General features: G+C 59.8%; 1 protein-coding gene and 2 long non-coding RNA genes across 14 annotated transcripts in view, besides 6 other annotated features; 2 read left to right on the forward strand and 1 right to left on the reverse strand.

The window, feature by feature from the left end:
* The window catches only part of FAAP20 (FA core complex associated protein 20), a 28244-nt gene extending 13826 nt beyond the window's left edge, over positions 1-14418 (reverse strand). For 5 of the 12 annotated variants that reach the window (XM_047448526.1, XM_047448529.1, XM_047448522.1 and 2 more), the window contains exons 1-6: positions 9254-9431; positions 8213-8365; positions 8003-8122; positions 7838-7872; positions 5262-5328; positions 2748-2923 (exon numbers count right to left, since the gene is read on the reverse strand). In XM_047448526.1, coding sequence (XP_047304482.1) covers positions 2748-2923; positions 5262-5328; positions 7838-7872; positions 8003-8092 — 368 coding nt within the window. In that variant the 5' untranslated portion in view covers positions 8093-8122; positions 8213-8365; positions 9254-9431. Of the gene's footprint in view, positions 1-451; positions 2924-5133; positions 5498-5750; positions 5838-7833; positions 7923-8002; positions 8123-8212; positions 8366-9253; positions 9432-14069; positions 14157-14246 lie in introns of those variants that run through there. The other 7 variants (NM_001146310.2, NM_001282670.2, XM_047448519.1 and 4 more) reach the window with 7 other exon arrangements.
* Positions 726-1323: an enhancer, noted in NCBI's record as "H3K4me1 hESC enhancer chr1:2130467-2131064 (GRCh37/hg19 assembly coordinates)". NCBI's record gives its function as "activates a minimal SCP1, AML or CMV promoter by ChIP-STARR-seq in naive H9 embryonic stem cells {active_cell/tissue: H9 hESC(naive)}" and the evidence as "EXISTENCE:reporter gene assay evidence [ECO:0000049][PMID:30033119]".
* Positions 5532-6531: an enhancer, noted in NCBI's record as "H3K27ac-H3K4me1 hESC enhancer chr1:2135273-2136272 (GRCh37/hg19 assembly coordinates)". NCBI's record gives its function as "activates a minimal SCP1, AML or CMV promoter by ChIP-STARR-seq in naive H9 embryonic stem cells {active_cell/tissue: H9 hESC(naive)}" and the evidence as "EXISTENCE:reporter gene assay evidence [ECO:0000049][PMID:30033119]".
* Positions 6922-7221: a silencer, noted in NCBI's record as "silent region_107". NCBI's record gives its function as "represses an Ori minimal core promoter by ATAC-STARR-seq in GM12878 lymphoblastoid cells {active_cell/tissue: GM12878}" and the evidence as "EXISTENCE:reporter gene assay evidence [ECO:0000049][PMID:35858748]".
* Positions 7052-7210: a silencer, noted in NCBI's record as "fragment chr1:2136793-2136951 (GRCh37/hg19 assembly coordinates)". NCBI's record gives its function as "represses an EF-1alpha promoter that drives an FKBP-Casp9 reporter gene in an ReSE screen in K562 erythroleukemia cells {active_cell/tissue: K562}" and the evidence as "EXISTENCE:reporter gene assay evidence [ECO:0000049][PMID:32094911]".
* Positions 8711-11033, forward strand: LOC105378593 (uncharacterized). The gene is made up of 3 exons (XR_946826.2): positions 8711-8799; positions 9084-9598; positions 10126-11033. It is a non-coding gene; the product is annotated as an uncharacterized LOC105378593 (long non-coding RNA).
* Positions 11263-12116: an enhancer, noted in NCBI's record as "H3K4me1 hESC enhancer chr1:2141004-2141857 (GRCh37/hg19 assembly coordinates)". NCBI's record gives its function as "activates a minimal SCP1, AML or CMV promoter by ChIP-STARR-seq in naive H9 embryonic stem cells {active_cell/tissue: H9 hESC(naive)}" and the evidence as "EXISTENCE:reporter gene assay evidence [ECO:0000049][PMID:30033119]".
* Positions 13439-14277: an enhancer, noted in NCBI's record as "H3K27ac-H3K4me1 hESC enhancer chr1:2143180-2144018 (GRCh37/hg19 assembly coordinates)". NCBI's record gives its function as "activates a minimal SCP1, AML or CMV promoter by ChIP-STARR-seq in primed H9 embryonic stem cells {active_cell/tissue: H9 hESC(primed)}" and the evidence as "EXISTENCE:reporter gene assay evidence [ECO:0000049][PMID:30033119]".
* LOC124903823 (uncharacterized) lies at positions 14089-22447 on the forward strand. Its single transcript, XR_007065358.1, has 2 exons — positions 14089-14175; positions 22233-22447. It is a non-coding gene; the product is annotated as an uncharacterized LOC124903823 (long non-coding RNA).
* The last annotated feature ends 296 nt before the right edge of the window (positions 22448-22743 follow it).

A 22743-nucleotide genomic window follows, 5' to 3' on the forward strand; every position in this document is an offset into this window, starting at 1 on the left:
CCCATCTCCTACTCCCGCACCTGCAGACCGGTGGGCTAGGAGGCCCCTTACCCTCTGTGGCAAAAAAGGACACATTTATGGATGATGAATCAGGCCCCAGCCCACTGAGCTGGTTTCAGAAGCCAGGCTGGCCGTAGGTCAGGGAGCCAGGCCTCTCCAACTCCTTCCACCGCGGAAGAACAAGTGTCCCAGCCACTGGCATCCTCAGAGTCACCCAAATGTTCATCTCTGCCCAGCGCTGACACCCTGCAAATCAGGCTAAGACAGCGGTGACGGGCCCTGAGGCTGGCAGGCCTAAGCAGCCCGGTGGCCGTGCACCCTCCCAATTTCCAAATGAGACCTGTGGCCGACAGGCACCCTGGGCACATGCTGAAGGCACTGGGCTGCCTCCACCCCTTCCCATGTGGCTAAATGGCCCAGCACCCACACACGGTGCCCTGGCAGTGCTCACCTGCTGGCAAGGACAGCCAAAAGGCCCGGGCAGCCTTCTGACGCAGCCAGGAACTGGGCTGTGCTCCACCACACCTGCTGGCCCGTGGATGCCAGGCAGGCACGCCCACCCATAGCCAGATGTGGTGGCATTTATGGGATACGGGAGTGCCAGGCAGACAGGCTGTGAGAGACAGTTGCCTGGGAAACATCGCCAGATCTTTGGGGCAGCAGAGCAGGTGCTCGGGCCCACACATGGGGTGCAAGAGTAGGGGTGTGCCTTGGTGCCCTTGGGCACCGACAGCCTCCTCACAGCCTCAGTGGCGGGGTCATGGCACAGGCCTGCCCCTGACCCCAAGAACCAGAAAGCCAGGAGCAGCTGGGGAGGGCCCTGGCCCGGGAGAGACAGCGGTCCTGTTTCTGAACCCCATCCCAGCCATGGCCTGTGTCTGGGCCAGCATCCCCGACCAGACAGGGCCAGCCGCCCTCTCTCAAAGTCCCCAGCACCCCTTCAAGCAGTATCCGGTTCACACCCTCCCACAGCCTGTCCTCCATCCCCACGTGTCGGGCTCAGCTTCCGCACCACTCAGCCCCCACCCAGGGGCGGGCTTTTATCAGCCCCAGATCCTGCTCTGACGTCCCCCCGCCCGGAGAAGCTTCCCCAGCCCAGCCCAGCCCAGCCCAGCCCAGGCTTCTCTCTCCACCCCACTGCCCTGCTGGGAAATTGTGAGCTCAGATGCTGATTGGTCTACCCAGGAGGGCGGTCCTGTGTGCTCTGTTCCCTGGGAAGCCTCTCAGAGTGCGCGGCACCAAGGAGCCGGTCAGGGAGTGGAGACCTCTCAGGGCACCCCTCCTCTGGGGAAGGCAAGTCACAGAAACCAAGCTGGAGGAGCACTGTGGGTTGAGCAGCGTCTCCGAAGACTCATGTCCACCAGTACCTGAGAAAGTGGCCTCGCTCGGAAGCAAGGTCTGTGCCGATATAATCAAACCAGGATGAGGCGATACTGGGTTAGGGTTGGCCCTGAATGCAGTGTGAGCAGTGTTCTTGTAAGAAAAGGAAAATTGTCCGGGTGCAGTGTCTCACGCCTGCAATCCCAGCACTTTGGGAGGCCGAGGCGGGCAGATCACTTGAGGTCAGGAGTTCTAGACCAGCCTGGCCAACATAGTGAAACCCCGTCTCTACTAAAAAACACAAAAATTAGCTGGGTGTGGTGGTGGGCGCCTGTAGTCTCAGCTACTCGGGAGGCTGAGGCAGGAGAATCGCTTGAACCCAGAAGGCAGAGGTTGCAGTGAGCCAAGATTGTGCCATTTTACTCCAGCCTGGGCAACAGAGCAAGACTCCGTCTCAAAAAAAAAAGAGAGAGAGAAAGAAAAGGAAAATTGGCCAGGTGCTGTGGCTCATGCCTGTAATTTCAGCACTTTGGGAGGCCGAGGCAGGTGGATCATGTGAGGTCAGGAGTTCGAGACCAGCCTGAAAGACATCGTGAAACCCCATCTCTACTAAAGATACAAAATTAGCTGGGTGTGGTGGTGGGCACCTGTAATCCCAGCTACTTAGGAGGCTGAGGCAGGAGAATCGCTTGAACCCAGGAGGCGGAGGTTGCGATAGGCCGAGATCGTGCTGTTGCACTCCAGCCTGGGCGACAAGAGCAAAACTCTATCTCAAAAAAAAAAAAAAAAAGGTAAGGAAAATTTGGACACAGAGACACAGGAAGGAGGCTTTGGGGTTGGGGGTGGAGCAGCTGCACGCCAGGGAATGCCGGGGGCCCGGGGCTGGAAGGGGCAGGCAGCAGCCACCCAGAGCCTTTAGGCGGAGCTCCACCCTCCCAACCACTGATTTTGGACACCAGCTGCCTGAACTGTGAGAATATACATGTCACTCGTTTTAGGCTCCCAGTGTGTGGTCATTTTTTCACAGCAGCCCCAGGAGACACGCAGCAGGCTCCCGGCTTTCCAAGCCGCCACGCACCAAGTTCAGCTTGAAAACGCTGAGCCCAGCTGGGTGCGGGGAGCCCTCGGTCTCCTGTCCACCACACCCGGAGCTGAGGAAGAGGCTCCCCCATGGGCCAAGAGCTGGAAGGGGGCCCTTGGAGGATCCCCCAAGGTCCTCCAAGTGGGCCAGGAAACCTCTGCAGGTGGAGAGGGTGGCTGGGACCCCCTCGGGAGTCCCCAGGGAAGGTCTGGCTTCTCGGCTCTGTAGAATCAGCTTTGTCCCCAGTTCAGCACGTTTTTATGGGAAATCTGCTGGCTGGGGACAGCCCTTGATGTCCTGAGATGAGATGCTGCCTGGTCCCTGCACCTTCCAGGACCCAGCTCACCTGTGGCGCACAGGTTTCCACTTGTCATAGGAAACTGTGCTTGGTGCATCCCCTGTGCAGCCGGCTGTGAACTGTGGGCTCCAACCCTGCTTGGTTTGCTTCAACTTTCTGAGTGACGTGCAGACCTTCACAGAGGAGCCGTGGGGTGGCTCCATCCAACGCCTCCCTCGCTGCCCCTGTGTTGGAAAATAAGGACAGTGGGTGGCCTGGGCCCTGCGCATCCTCCAGAGGGTCAGGGACACGCACGGTGAGCGACCTCTGTAGGCTCGAAGGCACAGCCTGGAAGGACTGGGACACCCGTGGGCAGGGAGCAAGAAGGCACCGCCGGGGGCTTAGGTCTTCTTTGTTCATCTGGTAGAATTGCTGACTTTTAGAGAAAGGGACCTGAGGCTGGGCACGGTGGCTCACACCTGTCAAATCTCAGCACTTTGGAAGGCCAAGGCGGGTGTATCACCTGAGGCCAGAAGTTCAAGACCAGCCTGACCAATATGGTAAAACCCCATCTCTACTAAAAATACAAAATTTAGCCGGGCGTGGTGCCGTGCGCCCATAGTCCCAGTTATGTGGGAGGCTGAGACAGGAGAATTGCTTGAACCTGGGAGGCGGAGGTTGCAGTGAGCCAAGATTGTGCCACTGCACTCCAGCCTGGGTGACAGAGCAAAACTCCAACTCAAAAAAAACAAAAAGTCTGGGCGCGGTGGCTCATGCCTGTAATACCAGCACTTTGGGAGGCCAAGGCAGGCGGATCACGAAGTCAGGAGCTTGAGACCATCTTGGCTAACACGGTGAAACCCTGTTTCTACTAAAAATACAAAAAATTAGCTGGGCGTGCTGGTGGGCACCTGTAGTCCCAGCTACTTGGGAGGCTGAGGCAGGAGAAAGGCGTGAACCCGGGAGGCGGAGCTTGCAGTGAGCCGAGATAGTGCCACTGCCCTCCAGCCTGGGCGACAGAGCGAGACTCTGTCTCAAAAAAAAAAAAAAAAGAAGAAGAAGAAGAAAAAGAAAAAGTGGCCTGAAAGTTATGGCCCAAAAATGGGCCTGATTTTCTGTTTCTCTTTTCCCCTGGGTGCTCCCTCAGGGACTGTTTGGAGAACCAGGCTCCAGGAGGCCCCTGTGCAGACTCCGGGCTGTCCTGCAAACCCCAGCACCGTGTGGCCTTGGCCCAGGGCTGCTCTCCCCTACCAGGTACCCGAGGAGGAGGTGGCCTCTGTTCCTTCCAGCTATGCCCTCCATATGTGCCACCGGACCCCATCACCACGAGCCCCAGCTAAGTGACAGCCAACAACCCTACTTCTGTTTTTGTTTTAGAGACAGGGTCTTGCACTGTTGCCCAGGCTGGAGTGCAGTGGCGAAATCTCGATTCACTGCAACCTCCACCTCCTCGGTTCAAGCAATCCTCAACACCTCTTTATTTTTATTTTATTTATTTATTGAGACAGAGTCTCCCTCTGTTACCCAAGCTGGAGTCTAGTGGCATGATCTCGGCTCACTGCAACTGATGCTTCCCTGGCTCAAGAAATCCTCCCACTTCAGCCTCCCAAGTAGCTGGGACTACAGGCACAAGCCACCACACCTGGTTAATTTTTTGTTTTGTTTTGTTTTGTAGAGACGGGATGGGATTTTGCCATGTTGCCCAGGCTGGTCTTGAACTCCTGAGCTCAAGCGATCCTCTTCCCTCGGCCTCCCAAAGTGCTAGGATTACAAGCATGAGCCACTGCACCAGGCCCTGGCTAATTTTATTTTTTGTAAAGATAGGGTCTCATAATATTGTCCAGGCTGGTCTCGTCAAACTCCTGGCCTCAAGCAATCCTCCTGCCTTGGCCTCCCAAAGTGCCATATACCCCCACTTCTGGGTGAGCAATTTCCGACTTTGTGGTGTGAGGGATGATGTCTGACATGAAGCTCCATCCTCCTCCCTGGGGTCCATCCTGCAGTGGGAGCCGTCCTCCCAGCCAGCTGGTGACTGGACAACAGTGCTGTCCATCCGAGTGGGACACTGGCTGAGACTCTCCTCACCCTCCCATCCCCCTTCTGCTTTTCTCCCTGCCCATGGCCTGGCAACCTTCCCCGGGGCCAGAGGGCAGCCCAGGGTCCCGAGGCCCCAGGAAGCTATCTGGCCGCTGGAAGTAGTGGCCTGATGCCCAGCAGAATCTCAGAACAGGCCCTTCGCCTGCAGCCCAGGTGGGGCCAAGGCACAGCTAGGATCCCGACAGGCCAGAGAGTGGCCGCTGAGACAAGCCCCGCCCTCCCTTCTGCCGCCTTCTTCCCCCCAGGCTTCTCCATAGTGGGGCAGGCTCTCTGGACACCCCTCCGCAGTCAGGGCCCACCCATGGCTGCCCTGCCCAGGCCTGGGCACAGCTGCACTGACTGTTCCTGGCAGCCTCACCGGTGCAGGCCACCCTGCTGCTCCAGCTCAGTCCAGCACAGGTGTTCTCGCTCTGGGGTTGGCCTGGCGCTGACCTGTGCACCTGACAGGGAAGGTAGGCAGCTCTGGAGCTGGCTGGTGCCCCTCACCTGGGGTGGAGCTGGGGCAGGTCCCACATTTCTCAGAAGGACTCCAGGATGCAGCTGCGTCTGGGGCCTGAGCGGAGGGAAGATATCAGGCTGGGGCCGGCTGCTGGGCCTGTCCTCTCTGAGTTGCCTCAAATCCCCTGTTCCTTGAGCGGTCCTGGAGCCTGGCCTCAGGCCTCAGGGCACCACACTACTTGCCTCCAGGGACCAGCCTGTTCACCCCACACCCAGCCCTGTGACAGAGGTGCTGTCGCGTGGCCCCACTTACAGATGGGTCAACTGAGGCCCGGGGCATCTGTCCACTTGTCATGACAGTGAGCGGCCAAGCTGGATGTGAACCCAGGTTTTTGTATGCTGCCGCCCGGTGGGGTTGGGGAGGACTTAGTGGCACCCACTGACCTCCCACTGGGGATCGGGGTCAGGGAGTGAAGTAAGTGCCTGGCTCTCCGAGCACCCTGGGGCAGCCCCTCCAGCCTGGGAGAGCCAGCTCACATCTGGGCAGTTGGTGAGGCCAGCTCCTGCCATCTCGGGTCCCCATGCGCTTCTCAGATGTGAAAGCCCCTTGCTGGCCTCCACAGACCCTCACAGACGGCCTCACAGGCCAACACCCAGCGGCTGCACTGCCCATGGTCACTATCTCTGCAGCCCGCGTGTGCGGCCAGTGTCCCTCCGGTGACCCCAGGCCCAGGTGCCCGGCTGTTGGTCCTGCCAGCATCGTGAGCCGTGGTCTGCCGTCCTGGCACATCCTGAATGGAGGTGCACGCATAGAGGCTGCCTGTGAATCTCCTGCGCTTCCTCAGAGGGATTTGCCCCCTTCTGGGACGTGCCCTGGGGACGGTCAGTTCTCCCAAATAGTGACTTCCTTTCTCCACATAATGAGAGCCTTTGGCTGAGGGATTGGGAGGACCAGGAAAAAGCCGCCAGGCCACGTGGGGCGTGACTTGGCGATCCCGGTGGCTCCGGGCGTCAGCTTGGACCTCAGACGCCCCTCACAGCTCACAGCCCTGTGGCCTGCTCTGAGGGCCCCGCCCGCCGCCGAGCCCCCGGGAGCCGGAGAACCCGCAGGACGTCAGCCGGGTGGATTCCCTCCCACTGCCCCTGACCCCACTGCCCAGCGCCTTCAGGACTAGCGGATGATGGACTTGTGCTAAACTGGCTACGACCCCTCCGGAGCAGGGTCCTGGGTAAATCAGCAGTGAGCTGCAGGCTCAGCCAGCCGCCGCCTTTGGTTTCCTCCCGCCGCCGGCTCACCCCACCTCAGACCCGAGCTAGCTCTCCAGCCTGGTTCCTCTGCCGGACCCTCCTCCCGGGCACCTCCCACGCCCCGCCCTCAAGCCCCGCCCCTCAAGCCCCCCTCCCTCCCTTCGGGCCCCCCATACCCCGCCCCTCAAGCCCCGCCCCGCCCCCCGGGCGCCACGCGCCCCGCCCCTCAAGCCCCGCCCCTCCCTCCGGGCTCCCCACGCCCCGCCCCTCCCACGAGGCTCCCTCACGCCCCGTCCCCAAGCCCCGCCCTTCCCCCGGGCTCCCCCACGCCCCGCCCCTCAAGCCCCGCCCCCCAGGCGCCCCACGCCCCACCCCTCAATCCCCGCCCCTCCCCCGGGCTCCCCCCACGCCCCGCCCCTCTTTCCGGCCCCCTACGCCCCGCCCCCGCTCCTCCTTCTGGCCCTTCCCTTGCCCCGCCCCTCCCAGTGCCACCGTCCTTCCAGGCAGCGCCCACACCCCGCCCCTCATGGGCACCACCCACACAAGCAAGCCCCGCCCCGCAGGGTCCCGCCCACGTTCCGCCCCACCCCGCCCCAGCTGTGTCCTCGGCGCCCAGCCTGGGGCAGCCGTCCCCGTGAGCCCCGCGAGGGGAGCCTGTCCCAGCCACCTCGCCGCTTCAATTTCCTCCAGGTCCACAGGCCCAGCCCGGCGCGCGCCGCTCGTTCTGCGACCTCCAGGGCGAGCGCGCTTCCGGGGCGGCCGTGCAAGAGGCGTGGGAAGCGCGCGGGGGGTTCTGAGCGTGCAGTCGCCGCCTGCGGACGGCGAAGGGGCGGGTGAAACGAGTTTCCAGCGTCGAGCCTGCTTCGTTTCAAGGTGGACGCCACATGCAAGCCACGAGCGCGTCGCCGCACGGTGTACGCCCACGGTCCGGGCCGGGCGTTCTGCGGGTGCCCCCGCTGCGCCGCAGGCCTCAGTGGCGCGCCCGGGGACTGGAAGGCTGAGCCGCCCTCCTCCCATGTGCGCGGGAGTCCCTCCGCCACTGTGCCCAGATCGCCGGCGAAGCGCAGGGGGAGGCTGGGAAGGGCATCGGGAGACACGGGCCTGCGCCCCCTACCCGGGCCCCGGCCCACCTGTCCGCACACCTGTCCGAAGCCTTAAAAGGTCTTCATTCCTTTTCGGTCTGATCTGAGAGCCGAGCTCTCGGCAGGGATGGGGACCCAGGGCTCGGCCTGCAGGTGCCGTGCCAATTAGGGCCCAGGCAGGAGAGGGGCGTCCCTGCACTGGGGCTCCATCATTACGTTCGCATGGCCACTCTAGCATGGGAGGGGGGCAGGGCCTTTCCCTGTTAGTTCACTTCCCTGTTGGTACTCACCCACCTGTCTGTGGAAAGGCAGCAATGGTCGATTTCCCCCTTAAGAAACAAAGCGTGAAGGAGGAAGAGAGGCTACAGGAATCTGCCATCCGGGAGACCCTGTCTCTAACGGGCCATACGGGGTCCCCCTGTGTCTCCTGCAGCCCTGCACAGCCCCGGTCTGAGGTACCTTTTGGAGGGAGTGGCCCAGCTCTCCCGGCCTTTGCCACCCGGCGTCCTGTCCCAGTTTATCTGTGTCCAGTCCGATTGATGGGCTCATGGATTGGAAAGCTGTGACAGACGCCCTGGGCTGGGAGGTATAAAACGAAACTGTTTAACTCCAGTGAAAAAACAGTTGCAGGGATCCCAGAAGTGGGAAAAGGTCGCTCTGAGCACCTACCGTGGGGTGGGTGTGATTCTGAGACTAAGGCTCTGGGGGCCGGGCGTGGTGGCTCACGCCTGTAATCCCAGCACTTTGGGAGGCCGAGGCGGGCGGATCACGAGGTCAGGAGATCGAGACCATCCTGGCTAACACGGTGAAACCCTGTCTCTACTAAAAATACAAAAAATTAGCTAGGCGTGGTGGCAGGTGCCTGTAGTCCTAGCTACTCGGGAGGTTGAGGCAGGAGAATGGTGTGAACCAGGGAGGTGGAGCTTGCAGTGAGCTGAGATGGCGCCACTGCACTCCAGCCTGGGCAACGGAGCGAGACTGTCTCAAAAAAAAAAAAAAAAAAGGCTCTGGGACCCCTGGCCCACGAGCCCCAGGCCACGGCCTCCTGCCTGGGAGGTGTGGCTCCCCATGCAGCCAGCTTCTTCCCTGCCTCAGATCGGTGACCTGCACTCTGTCCAGGAGGAGGGGAGACTTGCCCAGGGACAAACCCGAAAACACGGCAAGGTCAGGGGAGGAGGGCACTGTTTCCTGTCGAAGTCCACATTTGTGAAAAAACATTGATTGGGCAGAGAGAGGTGTTGTATTCTGGAATGGAGGTGAGTGGGGGGCCAGTGAGGGCTGGGCCGGTGAGGGGTGGATGTGATGTTTTGCCTGGCCCAAGGGAGCTGGTGCCCCAGGTTCCCAGTCTGCTGGCAGAGCTGGGTCCTGGTGGGGGCAGAGCTGGGCAGGCCCACATGGCCTGTGCATCCAGGGTGTCTTGTCCCCTTAATCCTTCAGAGGATGAACCCCCACCCTTCGCCGGCCTTCTTGGGCGTGGTCTGGTAGATAACTGGAGCTGGGAGAGGCTGAAGACAGTCAAAGCTGCTCTCCTCTTTTCTAGGTGAGAACAGTGAGCCCGCAAGGTCAGGGAGCTGCCCCCAGGTCATCTGGGCTGTCGGAGATGGAGGCGGGAGAGGAGCCGTGTGCTCCTGATCCCTGGCCCAACGCTCTCCTTCCCCGTCGCCCACTCGGCATCGGCCCTACCCGGGGCCCGGACTCCCACTCACGCACTGGAAACTCCCTGTCTTGGGGCCGCGCACACCATGCCTGGCAGGAGCTGGAGATGCAGCAGAGCAGACGCGGCTGCAGGAGCAGCCGTGTTTCCTACAGTGGAGAAGGGGACCCTGGCAGGAGCACTGCCCAGCCAGGCACGTGGTGCTCAACCCTGTGGGCACTGACCCCACAAAAGGCCGGGGTTTGTGCTGCAGGAGGCCTCTGTTTGGGGAGAGCTCTGTCCCGGCTCCAGTGCGGCGGCCCTCCCCCAGCCTGCTGGAATGGGACCTCATCCCTGCTCCAGCGTCATGGACTTTTCCGGCCTTGGGTCGAGGCCTCAGCGATTCAGGCGGGGCCGTTTTGGTAACACCCGTGTGTGTGTGTGTGTGTGTGTGTGTGTGTGTGTGTGTGTGTGTGTCCGTGCGCGCGCGCATGCGTGCAGGCATGTGAGCCTGTGTGTGCCCGCGTGCCTGCACGTGTGTGGACATGCGTGCGGTGTTTCCGCCCCAGGGCTGGACACCAAGGCCCGTCTTGGATGCAGGGTGTTTTCTGCAGGGGAAACTGAGGCGTGGGAGGCTCAGCCCCTGCCTGGGGGGGTGACTGCCAGGGAGTCAGCCTCAGAGCTCCCACCCCTGGGCACAACGGGCACCTGGCCCTAGGGCCTGGGCTTCTTGGGAGCCCGGGGCCTTGGCTGCACACAGACCATGGCCCTGGGTCCCAGGCCAGGGGTGTCCTCTCAGCCCTGCCTCCCTGCAGTGCACGTCCTCCAGCCCGCCTTCTGGTCTCTTTTCTTCCTCTCAACTTTACCCTGTCTCCCTCCCTTCCTCTCTCTGCCCCCCTCCTGGCAAGCGGATTGCAATCCAAACTTGTTGTTAACTTCTCCCCTGCAGTTGTCCACGGGCCCTTCCAAGTTAAACATTACTCATGGCGACAAGAGCCCGCAGGGCAGTGCCTGGCCTGGAGGTGGACCCGCGTGCGGAAGGTGCTGGGAGGGGGTGAGTACCAGGCCCCTCCCTGCAGCATCTGTGGGGCAGCTGCTGGTACAGGTGGCCCCAGCACCCTGAGCCCATACCTGGGTCCCTGCAGCCTCTTGCCTCGCCCTTTGGAGTCACGAATGTGCCTGTTTATGTAACCCCCATGCTCGGCCAGAGCGGGTAAGCCTGTGGGCAGCAGCTCCCTGGGCAGGCTTGGGAGGGGCCAGCCAGGGGCCCCAGAGGGGTTTGGGCCGGGCCAGGCGAGAGCCCTCCCCTCAGCCAGTCACTCCAGCTCTGTGCCAGGCTAGGGGTGGGACTGGAAACAAAGTGTTCAGAAAAAAAATAGCCTCATCTGTTTTGAATCGATTCCGCTTATTGGGCCCTCAGTTTTCCCAGCAGGGAAGTGGAGGGATGGGGAGTCATGGGCTCAAGCACCTCAGGGAGCCCTCACAGCTGCAGGAGGCACAAAGCCCGGACCCCACTCACTGCACCCAGCAGCTGCTCCACCCTGGCCTGTCAAGAGCCTCCCAGGTTAGGAGCAGAGCCCCCCAGGCCGGGTTCCCCAGGGGAGCAAAGCTGGAGGTCAACAGCAAACAGGCACGGTGTCCTCTACCCACCATCTGCCACCCCCTCCCTCGCGTCCTCTCTTACCACTCCGTCCCCCACCTGCTGCATGCATCCTGCAGGGACCAAGCACCGTCCTGCCCCCAGGCCTTTGCGCTGCTGGCCCCCGCCCCGAAAGCTTATCCCACACCCATTTTAGGGCTGCTGAGATGGACCTCATAGGAAGCCCTCCTCCAACTCAGCACCTCTCGACTTACCCTCGTCTATTCCTTTTAAGAACATGGACCCCCATCCAACATAGAACATTTGGAGACTTAATTTTTTATGCTCTCCCAAGGAAGCTGCCAGCTCTCTAGAACAGGAACTCTCCGCTGTGTCCGTGTGCTTGCTGTAGGGAGGCATGTAGTCAACTCCACAGAAGAAACCATTTCCACACTCACCCACCCAGCGCCCTCAGGGCCCAGCCCCCTGGCCTGCACCCGGACCCTGTCGGGCAGGACACATCTGGCTGACCAGAGCTCAGGCCAGGGGCCTCCCGTGGGGCTCAGCGGGGACAGCTGGATCCTGAGCCAACAGGGGGAGGGCAGCAGGCCGAGGCACACGAAGTTCAGGGGGGCTGCTTGGTGCTGGTGGCGTTCGGCCACCCCACTTTGTGCAGGACTATGGGCCACTCGTCCAGGAACTCCACACCCTCCACGTGAAGCCTCCCTCCTGCCCTGCTCACACCCCCAGGACCCTTCAGGCTCCCAGCCTTCCAGCCTCCCTCCTGCCTTCTGTCCAGACAGAGCTTGTCGGAGGAGGCGCTTCAGTGGACGCACATCCCTGCTGCAGCCAGGTTCCATCCAGGGAGCACAGAACCTGTCCTGGGCACTGAAACGCTCACGGGGCCTCTGTCCCACTGGGCCCCCTCTTGAGAGGCCTCTTCCCAGCACCTCACCCTGGAATGCAGCCTCAGGGTGGGGGGTCCTGAGGGGAGCTGGGGGAAAAGGCCCTGCCTAGTGCCCTGTGGCTGTGCTCTCCAGGCACCTTGTCTGTGACAGGGTCTTTGGGGGCTCTGGAGATGGGCGGCTCACCTGCCTGCCTCGTGCCCAGACCTGCGAGTGTGCCTGCCCGTGTCAGACAGAGGCGAGTTGGGACTTCACACCTGAAATCAAGCGGGAGGGTAGGAATGTGAGCCTCGAAACCACCTTCTTTCTGTATCGTTTCTGGGAGTGGCGATGTCGGCCAGTGGGACACCTGCTGAGGGTCCTCTTTTCCCATCCGGGTGCTGGCGGGACAGGGGGTGGCTGTGACCTTCACCCAGCCTGTGCTGAGAGCTCCAGCCCCCCACGGCGCCCACAGCCCTGCCTGCCGCCTCCCCCACCCCAGACCCTGCCCTCCTACCCTCCACGCCTGCTTTGGGGAGGAGGCCAGGTGGGGGTGGGGCTGATCTAGTCACAGGCTCTGCTTCGGCAATGAGACCCCAGCAACCCCCCAGGTAAGGGGGCCTTGGGGGCTGGGTGGGGGTGGCTCCTCGGGGCTCCTCCTGCCCTCCGGGGGCTGTGAAGCTTTCTGGGCAGCACTAGTCCCTTTTGCAAGACACTGCCAAGACTTGTGGCATTTCTGTGGGTCTCTGCATGCACAGCAGAGCACACACATGCACCAGGGCTGGGGCTCTTCTCCTGGAGGGTGACCCTGGGAATGGGTAGCCTTGCCCACCCAACCTTGGTCACCAGTGGCCATCCAGCCCCAGGTGTCCCCATCCTCAATTTGGGCTGAGGGCAGACTGCAGGCTGGCGTTGCAGAGGCAGCTGGGTAAAGTGTGGTCCCAGACAGGGACGCAAGCTGGCGATTGCTGCGGGGGACCTGGGCCTGGGCTTAGCGACTGCTGCCCCTATCCAGATGCCTGATTGGGACCAGGGTGTGGGGCCGGGCCCTGCAGCGCCTGTCTTGCCCGGGCTGGAGCCCTAGAGCTGTGCGACCTGGGGCCAGGGTGTTCTGACAGACTCACTCTCAGGGGCTGGATGCCCTTGGGCACCACGGCGGGTGCCTAGCAGACCGTGCTGTACACCATACCCCTACTCTGGCCATCTGTGGGCTCCTTGGGCCCCTGCCGCCATGCCACTGCCTCTCTTGGGAGCAAGTTTCTTTTCTTTTCTTTTTCTTTCTTTCTTTTTTTTTTTTTTTTTTTTGAGACGGAGTTTCGCTCTTGTTGCCCTGGTTGGAGTGCAGTCGCGCGATCTCGGCTCACTGCAACCTCCGCCGCTCAGGTTCAAGTGATTCTCCTGCCTCAGCCTCCCAAGTAGCTGGGATTACAGGTACCTGCCACCACGCCTGGCTAATTTTATATATATATATATATATATATATATATATATATATTTTTTTTTTTTTTTTTTTTTTTTTTTTTGAGACAGAGTCTTGCTCTGTTGCCTAGGCTGAAGTGCAGTGGCGCAATCTGGGCTCACTACAAGTTCCGCCTCCCAGGTTCACGCCATTCTCCTGCCTCAGCCTCCCCAGTAGCTTGGGACTACAGGCACCCGCCACCACGCCCGGCTAATTTTTGTTATATTTTTAGTAGTGACGGGGTTTCACTGTGTTAGCCAGGATGGTCTCCATCTCCTGGCCTTGTGATCCGCCTGCCTCGGCCTCCCAAAGTGCTGGGATTACAGGCATGAGCCACCGTGCCCGGCCAGTTTTTTATATTTTTATTAGAGACGGGGTTTCATCATGTTGGCCAGGCTGGTCTCAAACTCCTGACCTCAGGTGATCCACCTGCCTCGGCCTCCCAAAGTGCAGGGATTACAGGCGTGAGCCACCGTGCCTGGCCGAGAGCAAGCTGCTGCTTTTTTTTTTTTTTTTTTTTGAGACGGAGTCTTGCTTTGTCGCCCAGGCTGGAGTGCAGTAGTGTGATCTCGGCTCACTGCAAGCTCCACCTCCCAGGTTCACACCATTCTCCTGCCTCAGCCTCCCGAGTAGCTGGGACTACAGGCGCCCGCCACCACGCCCAGCTAATTTGTTTTTTTGTATTTTTAGGAGCGACAGGGTTTCACCGTGTTAGCCAGGTTGGTCTCGATCTCCTGACCTCGTGATCCGCCCGCCTCAGCCTCCCAAAGTGCTGGGATTACAGGCGTGAGCCACTGCGCCAAGAGCAAGCTTCTGATGTAGGGGCTGCGGGGGGCTTCCCAGGCCAGGCAGGTTGCTGTCTCAGCGCCAGCGTGTAGCCTCCTCCCAGGATCCGGAGCAGGAGGGTGGCTGTCTTTTGCGTTCAATCCGCTGGGCTGCTGTGGGGTTCCCGCAGAGCTGCTCCAAGGGGCCGAGAGAAGGAAGGACGCTGCCCCCAAGGACAGACGGGCAAGCTGGAGTCAGGAGAGGCGCAGCCGTGGCCCACAGGCCTTGGATCTCTGGTTGGGGGAGCACCAGGTGGGTATGGGAGGGGGCCAGGGAAGCCCTGCAGCCCCCCCACCCCCACCCCCGGCCCCAGGCAGCAGTACCTCCAAGGCCTGGGCGGCAGGAAAGGGAGAGATGACGTCATTGCCGCCTGGAATCTGCTGTTTGGAGGCGTCGCCATGGAGACCGGAAGGCTCAGGGTGGGTAAAAATAGCAAACCCAAAAGGGTGTAAGTTCCAAGAACGCGAGTCTCTGAAAAGCGAGGCATCCATGTTCTCGTTGCCTGGAGGACAGAGGGCCCAGGCTGGGAGTCTAGCGGGAGGGGCCGCTCGGGGCTGCTGGCTTGCAGCCACCCACACGCGGTGTGTCCCTGCCACAGCCACGGAGAGCTTTGTCCCCGCGCAGGGTGTGGCGGGCGTGGCAGGCTCCCAGCAGGAGGCGTCTGCAAGCACGCTCCCTTCCTTTGCTTGGGCACCGGAGCCTTAGCCGAGGCCGCGCTGCAGGGACTTTTCCTTCCTCGGAGAGGGGAAGCGGCCGTGGCCTGTGAGTCGCTGGGCTTCCCAGGCCTCATCCAGGCCGGAACTCCGTGCCTCCAGGCGGCCTCTGCTGGGGCGGGAGGTACCAGAGCTGGGGTTTTCGCTGCCTGGCCTGAATGCTCTTTTCCTGCCCCAGTTTTGGAGAAGGAAAGGGGCGGTTGCCTGAGAAAGCGTCCTGCACCCCAGTCCTATTCCTCTAGGGGTGGTTTTCTTGCCAGGAAGCAGGATTTTCCTCCAGGCCAGGAGGTGGCCGTCCTGCTCCTTCTGGGCTTGGTCCCCGGAAACGCCAGTACACACTGTCTGCACCTCCCTTTGGCTGCGTCCCAGTGTCCTCAATGGGTCCCCCCAAGTCCCAGGCCACAGAATACAGCAGGAGGCTCGAGGGCTCTGGGCTGCTCTCCCCAGATGGCCGAGTCCGTGGAGAAACCCTGTAGCCGCGAGGGGCTCCCTGGCCGGGTGCCACCTCTGAGAAACTCTGCCCTGTTTTGGCTCTCGGTGTCGCTGGGGGCTCCTCTCTCCCAGGCCAGGCTGCACCGGGGCACGGAGGGGACCTCGCCTGGCTGCTTCCTCCCGCAGCGCGAGCCTAGGCAGAAGTGTCATTGGGCTCAGGAACCCTCAGATGGCCCAAGAATGACCCAGGAACCCTGAGAAGGCCCAAGAGTGACCCAGGAGCCCTCAGATGGCCCAAGAGCACCCCGAGTGGGGAGGGATCCAGGGTGATTCCCAGCCCCGAGAAAGGAAGCCCCATTCCGGGAGGGTGACTGTCCCCGAGCGGGGGGATGACTGTCCCCGAGCAGGGGGGTGACTGTGCCCGAGCGGGGGGGTGACTGTCCCCGAGCGGGGGGGTGACTGTCCCCGAGCAGGGGGGTGACTGTCCCCGGTTGGAAGGTGACTGCCCACTACAGCAACAAACGTTCTCCTGAGCAGCCTGGGGAACGCTTTCCTCCCTCCGTGCCGGAGGCTGGTGGGGCTGAGTCTCCGCCGCTCCCTGGGTGCTAAATCCTGGAACATCTTCAAAGAGTTTCAGTCCCTTCTCTTCTGCACACACCATTGTTCTCAGGGTGGCAGGGCACCCCCTTCCTCCACCCAGGGCAGGGGGAGCACGGGGTCTCACCTCTCACGCCCAGACCTCCCTTGGCTTGTGGTGGCCTTGACTGGAGAGGGCGAGGGGACATAGAGCCCTGTGTAGGGGTTTCTCATTCCCCCAAGACATAGCTCGCATGCCTTATGTAACGCGTGAGCTCACGCAGAGGGCCTGCCAGAAATGACGGCAGGGGCGGGAGGGGCCTGCTCGGGAAGCCAAGTGTGGCTCAGGCTTACGAGGAGCCTGGGCCCTGCCTTGAGGAGAGAGGGGCCCCGGGCCTTTGCAACCTGGGGCTCCCACACTGGCAGGGGATGGGCAGGGCCTGGGAGGGAGCGAAGGCCGTGGTGGTGCAGTGTATGGCAAGGCCTGGGGTGGCTGTGCTGGTCACTTGGCCTGTGGGTGCCTGGCCAAGCAGGATGTGGGGTCAGGCCCACCCCACTCCCCCACTAGCAGGCACCAGCAGGCCCGAGATGTCAGAGGAAGGGGCCTAAGTCACCCAAGACCCCCGGGAGAAGCTCTGGGGGCCTTAGAGGGGTGGATGGGTGGAGGCAGTGCCATCTCCCCCAGTGCCAGCTGCCCTTCCACCCTGAGAAACAGACCAGGACGGATGCTGCGCTGAGGATGGCCCTGAGGCAGGGCTGGACCCAGTGCCCGCGGCCGCCCTTGCCCTTCCTCCCTTCCCTTTCGGAGTCCTGGCCCCACCCTGTGCTTCCCCTCCGCCTGCTGCACAGGCGCCCACACTGTGTGGCTGGCCCAGCCCAGTTTCATTCCTGGAATGGGACCCCGGGAGCCGAGAGGGGCAAGGGCCTCTGGGCGGCGCGTGGGGCCTGGGTGACAGCACGGGTCCTCAGGGCAGTGCCCCCAGCCAAGAGGGAGCCATCCCTCCAAACACAGTGCCAAGGGGCACCTGGCCTGGGGACCTGTGTCCCGCCAGCAGTAGGGCCTAGCACAGCTGCACCTCACCAGGCCCAGGCCAGCCATTGGTCAGCTCACGGCCTGTTGCTGGGAAGGCAGCCAGCCCCTGACAAGGAGGGGGTGACCGGGAGTCCCACTAGGAGGAGGGGGAGGCCAGCCCTCGGGCCTGAGGAGGGCAGAACACTGGCAGGGGTCCCTGGCAGCGTCTTGGACTTTGCCCTCAAACCCTTAAGCAGGAGAACGGGGTGGGTGGGGGTTCCCTGAGGGGGCCAAGGGTGGTGCCGGGAGCCCAGTGTGGGGCAGATCCTGCTCTCAGGAAGGGTGGCTGAGGGGCCATGGCCCTAGACAGCGGGAGGGGCTGTATCCTGCTGCTGATGGGGAGGGGTGAGGATGGGGGCAAGGGGCGTCCATGCAGAGGCGGAGAGCAGGAGGTGAGGGGTTGGGCCCCTGGGATGGCTTGGTCTGAGCCTGGAGGCTGCACCCCCTCTGAGTAGCGGGAAGGTGGCTGCGGGCAGGTGCCGTGGGTGACTGAAGGGTAGGACCTGCGTGAAGGAGCCCCCGCTGCCCTTGGGACCACTGGGCCCCCGAGGTCTGGCCCTCACACACACCCTGCCCTCACCTGACCTCCCGCCCCGACCAGCCGCTTGCCCCAGTAGGTCCCAGGCTGCCCTGAGCCTCAGCATGCTCTGGTCTGCACGTGGCGGTAATGCCACCTGGCTCAGCATGTTGAGGGAAACCAGTCCTGGCACCAGGGTCCCACAGTGCCTGTGATGACTTATGAGGTTCTGCCATTGCAACCAACAGTGCCACAGCTTGGGCCCCTGGAAAGCACTGCGGGGATGGTCCCCCACTTCGAGAAGTGCTGGCTGAAAGCTTTGTGTGGGCAAGGACAGCACCCTTCTGCCCCCATTGGGTCCCCTGTGCCCACCTCGTGGTGCTCAGTGTTGTGTGCCGGGTAAAGGACAGCAGCCAGGGCCTCGGAGGATGCTGGTGATGCCCAGGCCGCGGCTGGGTCCCTGGCTCTCGCTCTGTCCCCACTGTTTGACACACAACCGCTTCAGCTAAGTCAAGAGTGATCTCTGGCCTGGGGGTCCCGGGCTCAGTGAAGTGCCGAGGGCACGCAGGGAGGTGGCGGCGAATGACTGGGGTGGCGTGGCGTGGCGTGGTGTGGCTGCAGCCCCGGGCAGCTATGACCAGCACAGCGCACAATCCAGGGCTGCACAGGATGCCCCCAGGACAGGGTTCAGTGGGTGAGGGTGGCAGGGCTGGGTGCCCACACTGGCTCTTCAATTCAGCACACGGCCCCCCAGGCTGGGCCTCACCAGTGTCCCCCTGGCTGTCCACAGGCTGTGGATGCGTCCTCAGAGCCAGGCCACGGGCTGCTGAGGGTGTCGAGGCCTCTGTGCCCCTCCCTCCCTCGGGCCCAACATCCTGCTGCTGCGCCCTCAGCCTCCAAGGTCCTTGTGTCTCTGGGCATGGGCTGCCAGGGGTCTCCTGCAGGAAAGGGAGCCCGAGAGAGCCAGCTTTGTCTCCCTAGCCTGGGACCTGGGCCAGGCCCTGTCACACTCTGGGTGTGAGCCCAAGGTGGGGTTGGGTGGACACCTGGCTCCCGGGATGGTTCAATGCCTGGCCCAGGCTGTCCAAGGCTGGGCAGCCTCATTGCTGCCCTACCTGGCTTTGTCCCTGTGGGGAGTGGGCAGGAGCTGGGCTGTGGCTCTGAGTGGGGTGGTCTGCTGGCCACCTGCTCTCACCCTCTGGTTCCCAATGGCCACAATGGCAGGACCATCCATGGCCCCCCAGAGGCAGGTGCCCTGCTCAGCACTTCCCATGCATCACCTCAGGTGATCTCAAGAGGCAGGCCCTGGCTCTGGGACCACCACCGGGAGGCTGACACACACCCGAGGCCACCTGGGCACGGTACAGGTCAGGCAACTGATTTCACAGAAGATCCCATGGTGGGCGAGGGCTCTCCTGGGCAGAATGGCTCTGAGAGAAACAACAGGAAACGCAAGCAAAACTGAAGGCAGCTTCCTTAGAAAGCCAGAAAATGGGCCGGGTGCAGTGACTAACGCCTGTAATCTCAGCACTTTGGGAGGCCAAGGCATGCGGATCACGAGATCAGGAGATCGAGACCATCCTGGCTAACACAGTGAAACCCCATCTCTACTAAACATACAAAAAATTAGCCAGGTGTGGTGGTGGGCACCTGTAGTCCCAGCTACTCAGGAGGCTGAGGCAGGAGAATAGCTTGAACCCGGGGGGCCGAGGTTGCAGTGAGCCAAGATTGCAGCACTGCACTCCAGCCTGGGCAACAGAGCAAGACTCTGTCTCAAAAAAAAAAAAAAAAAAAAAAGAAAGCCAGAAACTGCCGACCAGGCATGGTGGCTCATGCCTGTGATCCCAGCACTTTGAGAGGCCGAGGCGGGCAGATCACCTGAGGACAGGAGTTCAAGACCAGCCTGGCCAACATGGTGAAACCCCGTCTCTGCTAAAAATACAATAATTAGTTGGGCATGGTGGCATGTGCCTGTAATCCCAGCTATTACGGAGGCTTAGGCACGAGAATTGCTTGAACCCTGGAGGCGGAGGTTGCAGTGAGCCAAAATCGCACCACTGCACTCCAGCCTAGGCGATGGAGAGAGATTCCGTCTCAAAAAAAAAAAAAAAGAGCTGGGTGCGGTGGCTCACGCCTGTAATCCCAGCACTTTGGAAGGCCGAGCTGGGCAGATCATGAGGTCAGGAGATCAAGACCATCCTGGCTAACATGGTGAAACCCCATCTCTACTAAAAATATACAAAATTAGCCGGGCATGGTGGCGGGCGCCTGTAGTCCCAGCTACTCAGAAGGCTGAGGCAGGAGAATTGTGTGAACCCGGGAGGCGGAGATTGTAGTGAGCCGAGGTAGTGACACTGCACTGCAGCCTGGGCGATAGAGAGAGATTCCGTCTTTAAAAAAAAAAACAAAAAAAAAACAAAGAAAACTAGAAATTGCAGGTCAGCGCAAAAGAGAAACTTTAAGACATCTGTAGATTCTTCACTTGGCAAAAGTCACTTTCTTGTTTTTTGATATATGATCTGAAGGCTATAACATTCTACGTACCATGTAAGCTACATCCAGGAATTTTCATTGACAGTGTTTTCATTATCATTCAATTTAAAACATTTTGTGGTTTCCATTTTGATCCCTTCTTTAATTGATGATGTGTCCAAAGTATTTTGCAATGTCCCAGATAATGGTGATTTTTGATGGGAATGTGTATTTTTCTTTGTTATTTATTTTTATTTATTTTTTTGAGATGGAGTCTCGCTGTCACCCAGGCTGAAGTGCAGTGGCGCGATCTCAGCTCACTGCAACCTCTGCTTCCTGGGTACAAGTGATTCTCCTGCCTCAGCCTCCTGAGTAGCTGGGACTGTAGGCACATGCCACCATACCTGGCTAATTTTTGTATTTTTAGTAGAGACAGGGTTTCACCAGGCTGGTCTCAAACTCCTGCCCTCAGGTGATCCGCCCACCTCAGCCTACCAAAGTGCTGGGATTACAGGTGTGAGCCACTGCCCTCAGCCTGTTATTTTTAGTTTGGAATTCTAGTGTGTTTCTTTATTTTAATAGTTACCAAAGAAATACAGATACATAGATAAAAGAAACAAAAAGAACCCCCAAAGTTAGTACAGTTTAAATACTGAAACTGTAGAATCTGTAGAAACTATTGTCTCTGTGGAACTCACCAAGCCCTGGCCCTCCTTTGCTCCTCCATTACGGCCCTAGCGTCAGCTTCTTTCAAAGCTTTCACCCATTTTTTTTTGTCTTAGCTCTCTCCATACTTCTCAATTATGTGCTCTTGCTGCTCCTCCTTGGTTTAGCAGCTTTATACATGGTGAGATGTTACTGGAGAATGAGGGTTTTGCTCTTATCCAATGCTCCCTGCCCCACCCTACCATCTCTTCTTCTGTCTTCCCAAATGAGCAATTTCCTCATTTTTGTTTAAGTTGATGTCTCTATTATAATTTGTACTATAACTCTCTGCTGAGTCAAGTAGTGAACTCTGCTTAGGTTTTCTCTTTATTTTTCCTGGAGTTAGTAGTGGCCTTGCTTTCTTCTGTCATCTGCTGAGTTTCCTCTGTGCCTATGGCCCATCCCACCTACCTCTTCCAACAAGCCCTCCACACAGTGTTTGATCTAGTCAGTTGCATCCTACCTTCCACTGGTTCCTTGTTTTCCTGGAGCCCTGTGTCCTTCTGGCTTAGTCTGGGCTGCTTACTCTCTGGGCTCCATGTCTAGGCTGGTGGGCAGAGATTTCCATTTCCCCTTCATGGACTGGGACAGACCCTTCTTAGCTCTTATTGTTATGATGGAAGCCCAGTTCCAGATCCCATTCAGAAAGGGCCTGTGGCCATGACTCTTGTCTCTCACTGGCCTTAACCAGCAGCCCTCAGTGGACGTGAGACCAGGCCCAAGGCTTGCATTGGCAGTTTGGTTTCCACTCTTGCTTACCACTGTGGCTTGAGTGCTATCTTCATTTCTAGCTCTGCACAGCTACCTTCCTTGTGCCTTTTTACAGGACATTTAAAAAACAAATCTGGCCAGGCGAGGTGGCTCACACCTGTAATCCCAGCACTTTGGGAGGCTGAGGCGGGCAGATCATGAGGTCAGGAAATCAAGACCATCCTGGCTAACATGGTGAAACCCTGTCTCTACTAAAAAATACAAAAAAAATTAGCTGGGCATGGTGGCGGGTGCCTGTAGTCCCAGCTACTCAGGAGGCTGAGGCAGGAGAATGGTGTGAACCCAGGAGGCGGAGCTTGCAGTGAGCCGAGATTGTGCCACTGCACTCCAGCCTGGGAAACAGAGCGAGAGAGTGAGACTCTGTCTCAAAAACAAAACAAAACAAAACAAAAAAACCAAATCTGGCCAGGCGAGGTGGCTCACACCTGTAATCCCAGCACTTTGGGAGGCCGAGGCAGGTGGATCACCTGAGGTCAGGCGTTTGAGACCAACCTGGCCAACATGTCAAAACCCCATCTCTACTAAAAAAAATACAAAAATTAGCTGGGCATGATGACGGGTGCTTGTAATCCCAGCTACTCAGGAGGCTGAGGCAGGAGAATCGCTTGAACCCGAGAGGCAGAGTTTACACAGAGCCGAGATTGCGCCACTGCACTCCAGCCTGGGTGACACAACGAGACTCTGTCTCAAAAAAAAAAAAAAAAAAAAATGGCCGGGCACAGTGGCTCACGCCTTTAATCCCAGTGCTTTGGGAGGCCGAGCTGGGCGGATCACAAGGTCAGGAGATCAAGACCATCCTGGCTAACACAGTGAAACCCTGTCTCTACTAAAAATACAAAAAATTAGCCGGGCGTGGTGGCGGGCGCCTATAATCCCAGCTACTCGGGAAGCTAAGGCAGGAGAATCGCTTGAACCCAGGAGGTGGAGGTTGTAGTGAGCCGAGATCGCGCCACTGCACTCCAGCCTGTGTGACAGAGCGAGACTCGGTCTCAAAAAAAAAAAAAAAAAAAGCAAATCTATTTTACCCAGCATGTGTTTGTGCTTGGACTAGGAAGGGGACCCTGCACCATCTTGGCTGGGGTTGTAGCAGATGCTCTGGTGTCCTGTGGCTCCTCCGCCCCACCCTCACAGCGCCCCACTGCAGGGCTGCAGTCAGAAGCCTCAGGTTGCAGCCTGCCCGACAGCTCAAGCTCAGCAGGGCCGAATGGAGAATGTGTACCTCCTCCTCCTAACATTGTTAAAAATAAAATTTGTATTTTGACACAATCTCAAGCTTATAGAAAAGTTGCAAGAATAGTACAGGAACTTTTTTTCCCCTGAAGCATTTGAGGGTTTGTTGCCGCATGGTGCTCACCACACCCCAAAACAAGGACATTCTCCTACACGCCCCAACACGGCTGTCCAAGGCGGGAAATCACGTGGAGTCAGACCCCACTCTGGGCTTTCTGGTTGTCCCAGTAATATCCCTTGCAGTAAAGAGATCAGCCTGGGACCACACATTGCACTGAGGTGCCATCATGTCTTCTGTCTCCTTCGGTCCGGAACATTCCTGGGCCTTTCCC

This window comes from Homo sapiens, chromosome 1 (genome assembly GCF_000001405.40).
Source record: "Homo sapiens chromosome 1, GRCh38.p14 Primary Assembly".
Classification (NCBI taxonomy): Eukaryota; Metazoa; Chordata; class Mammalia; order Primates; family Hominidae; genus Homo; species Homo sapiens.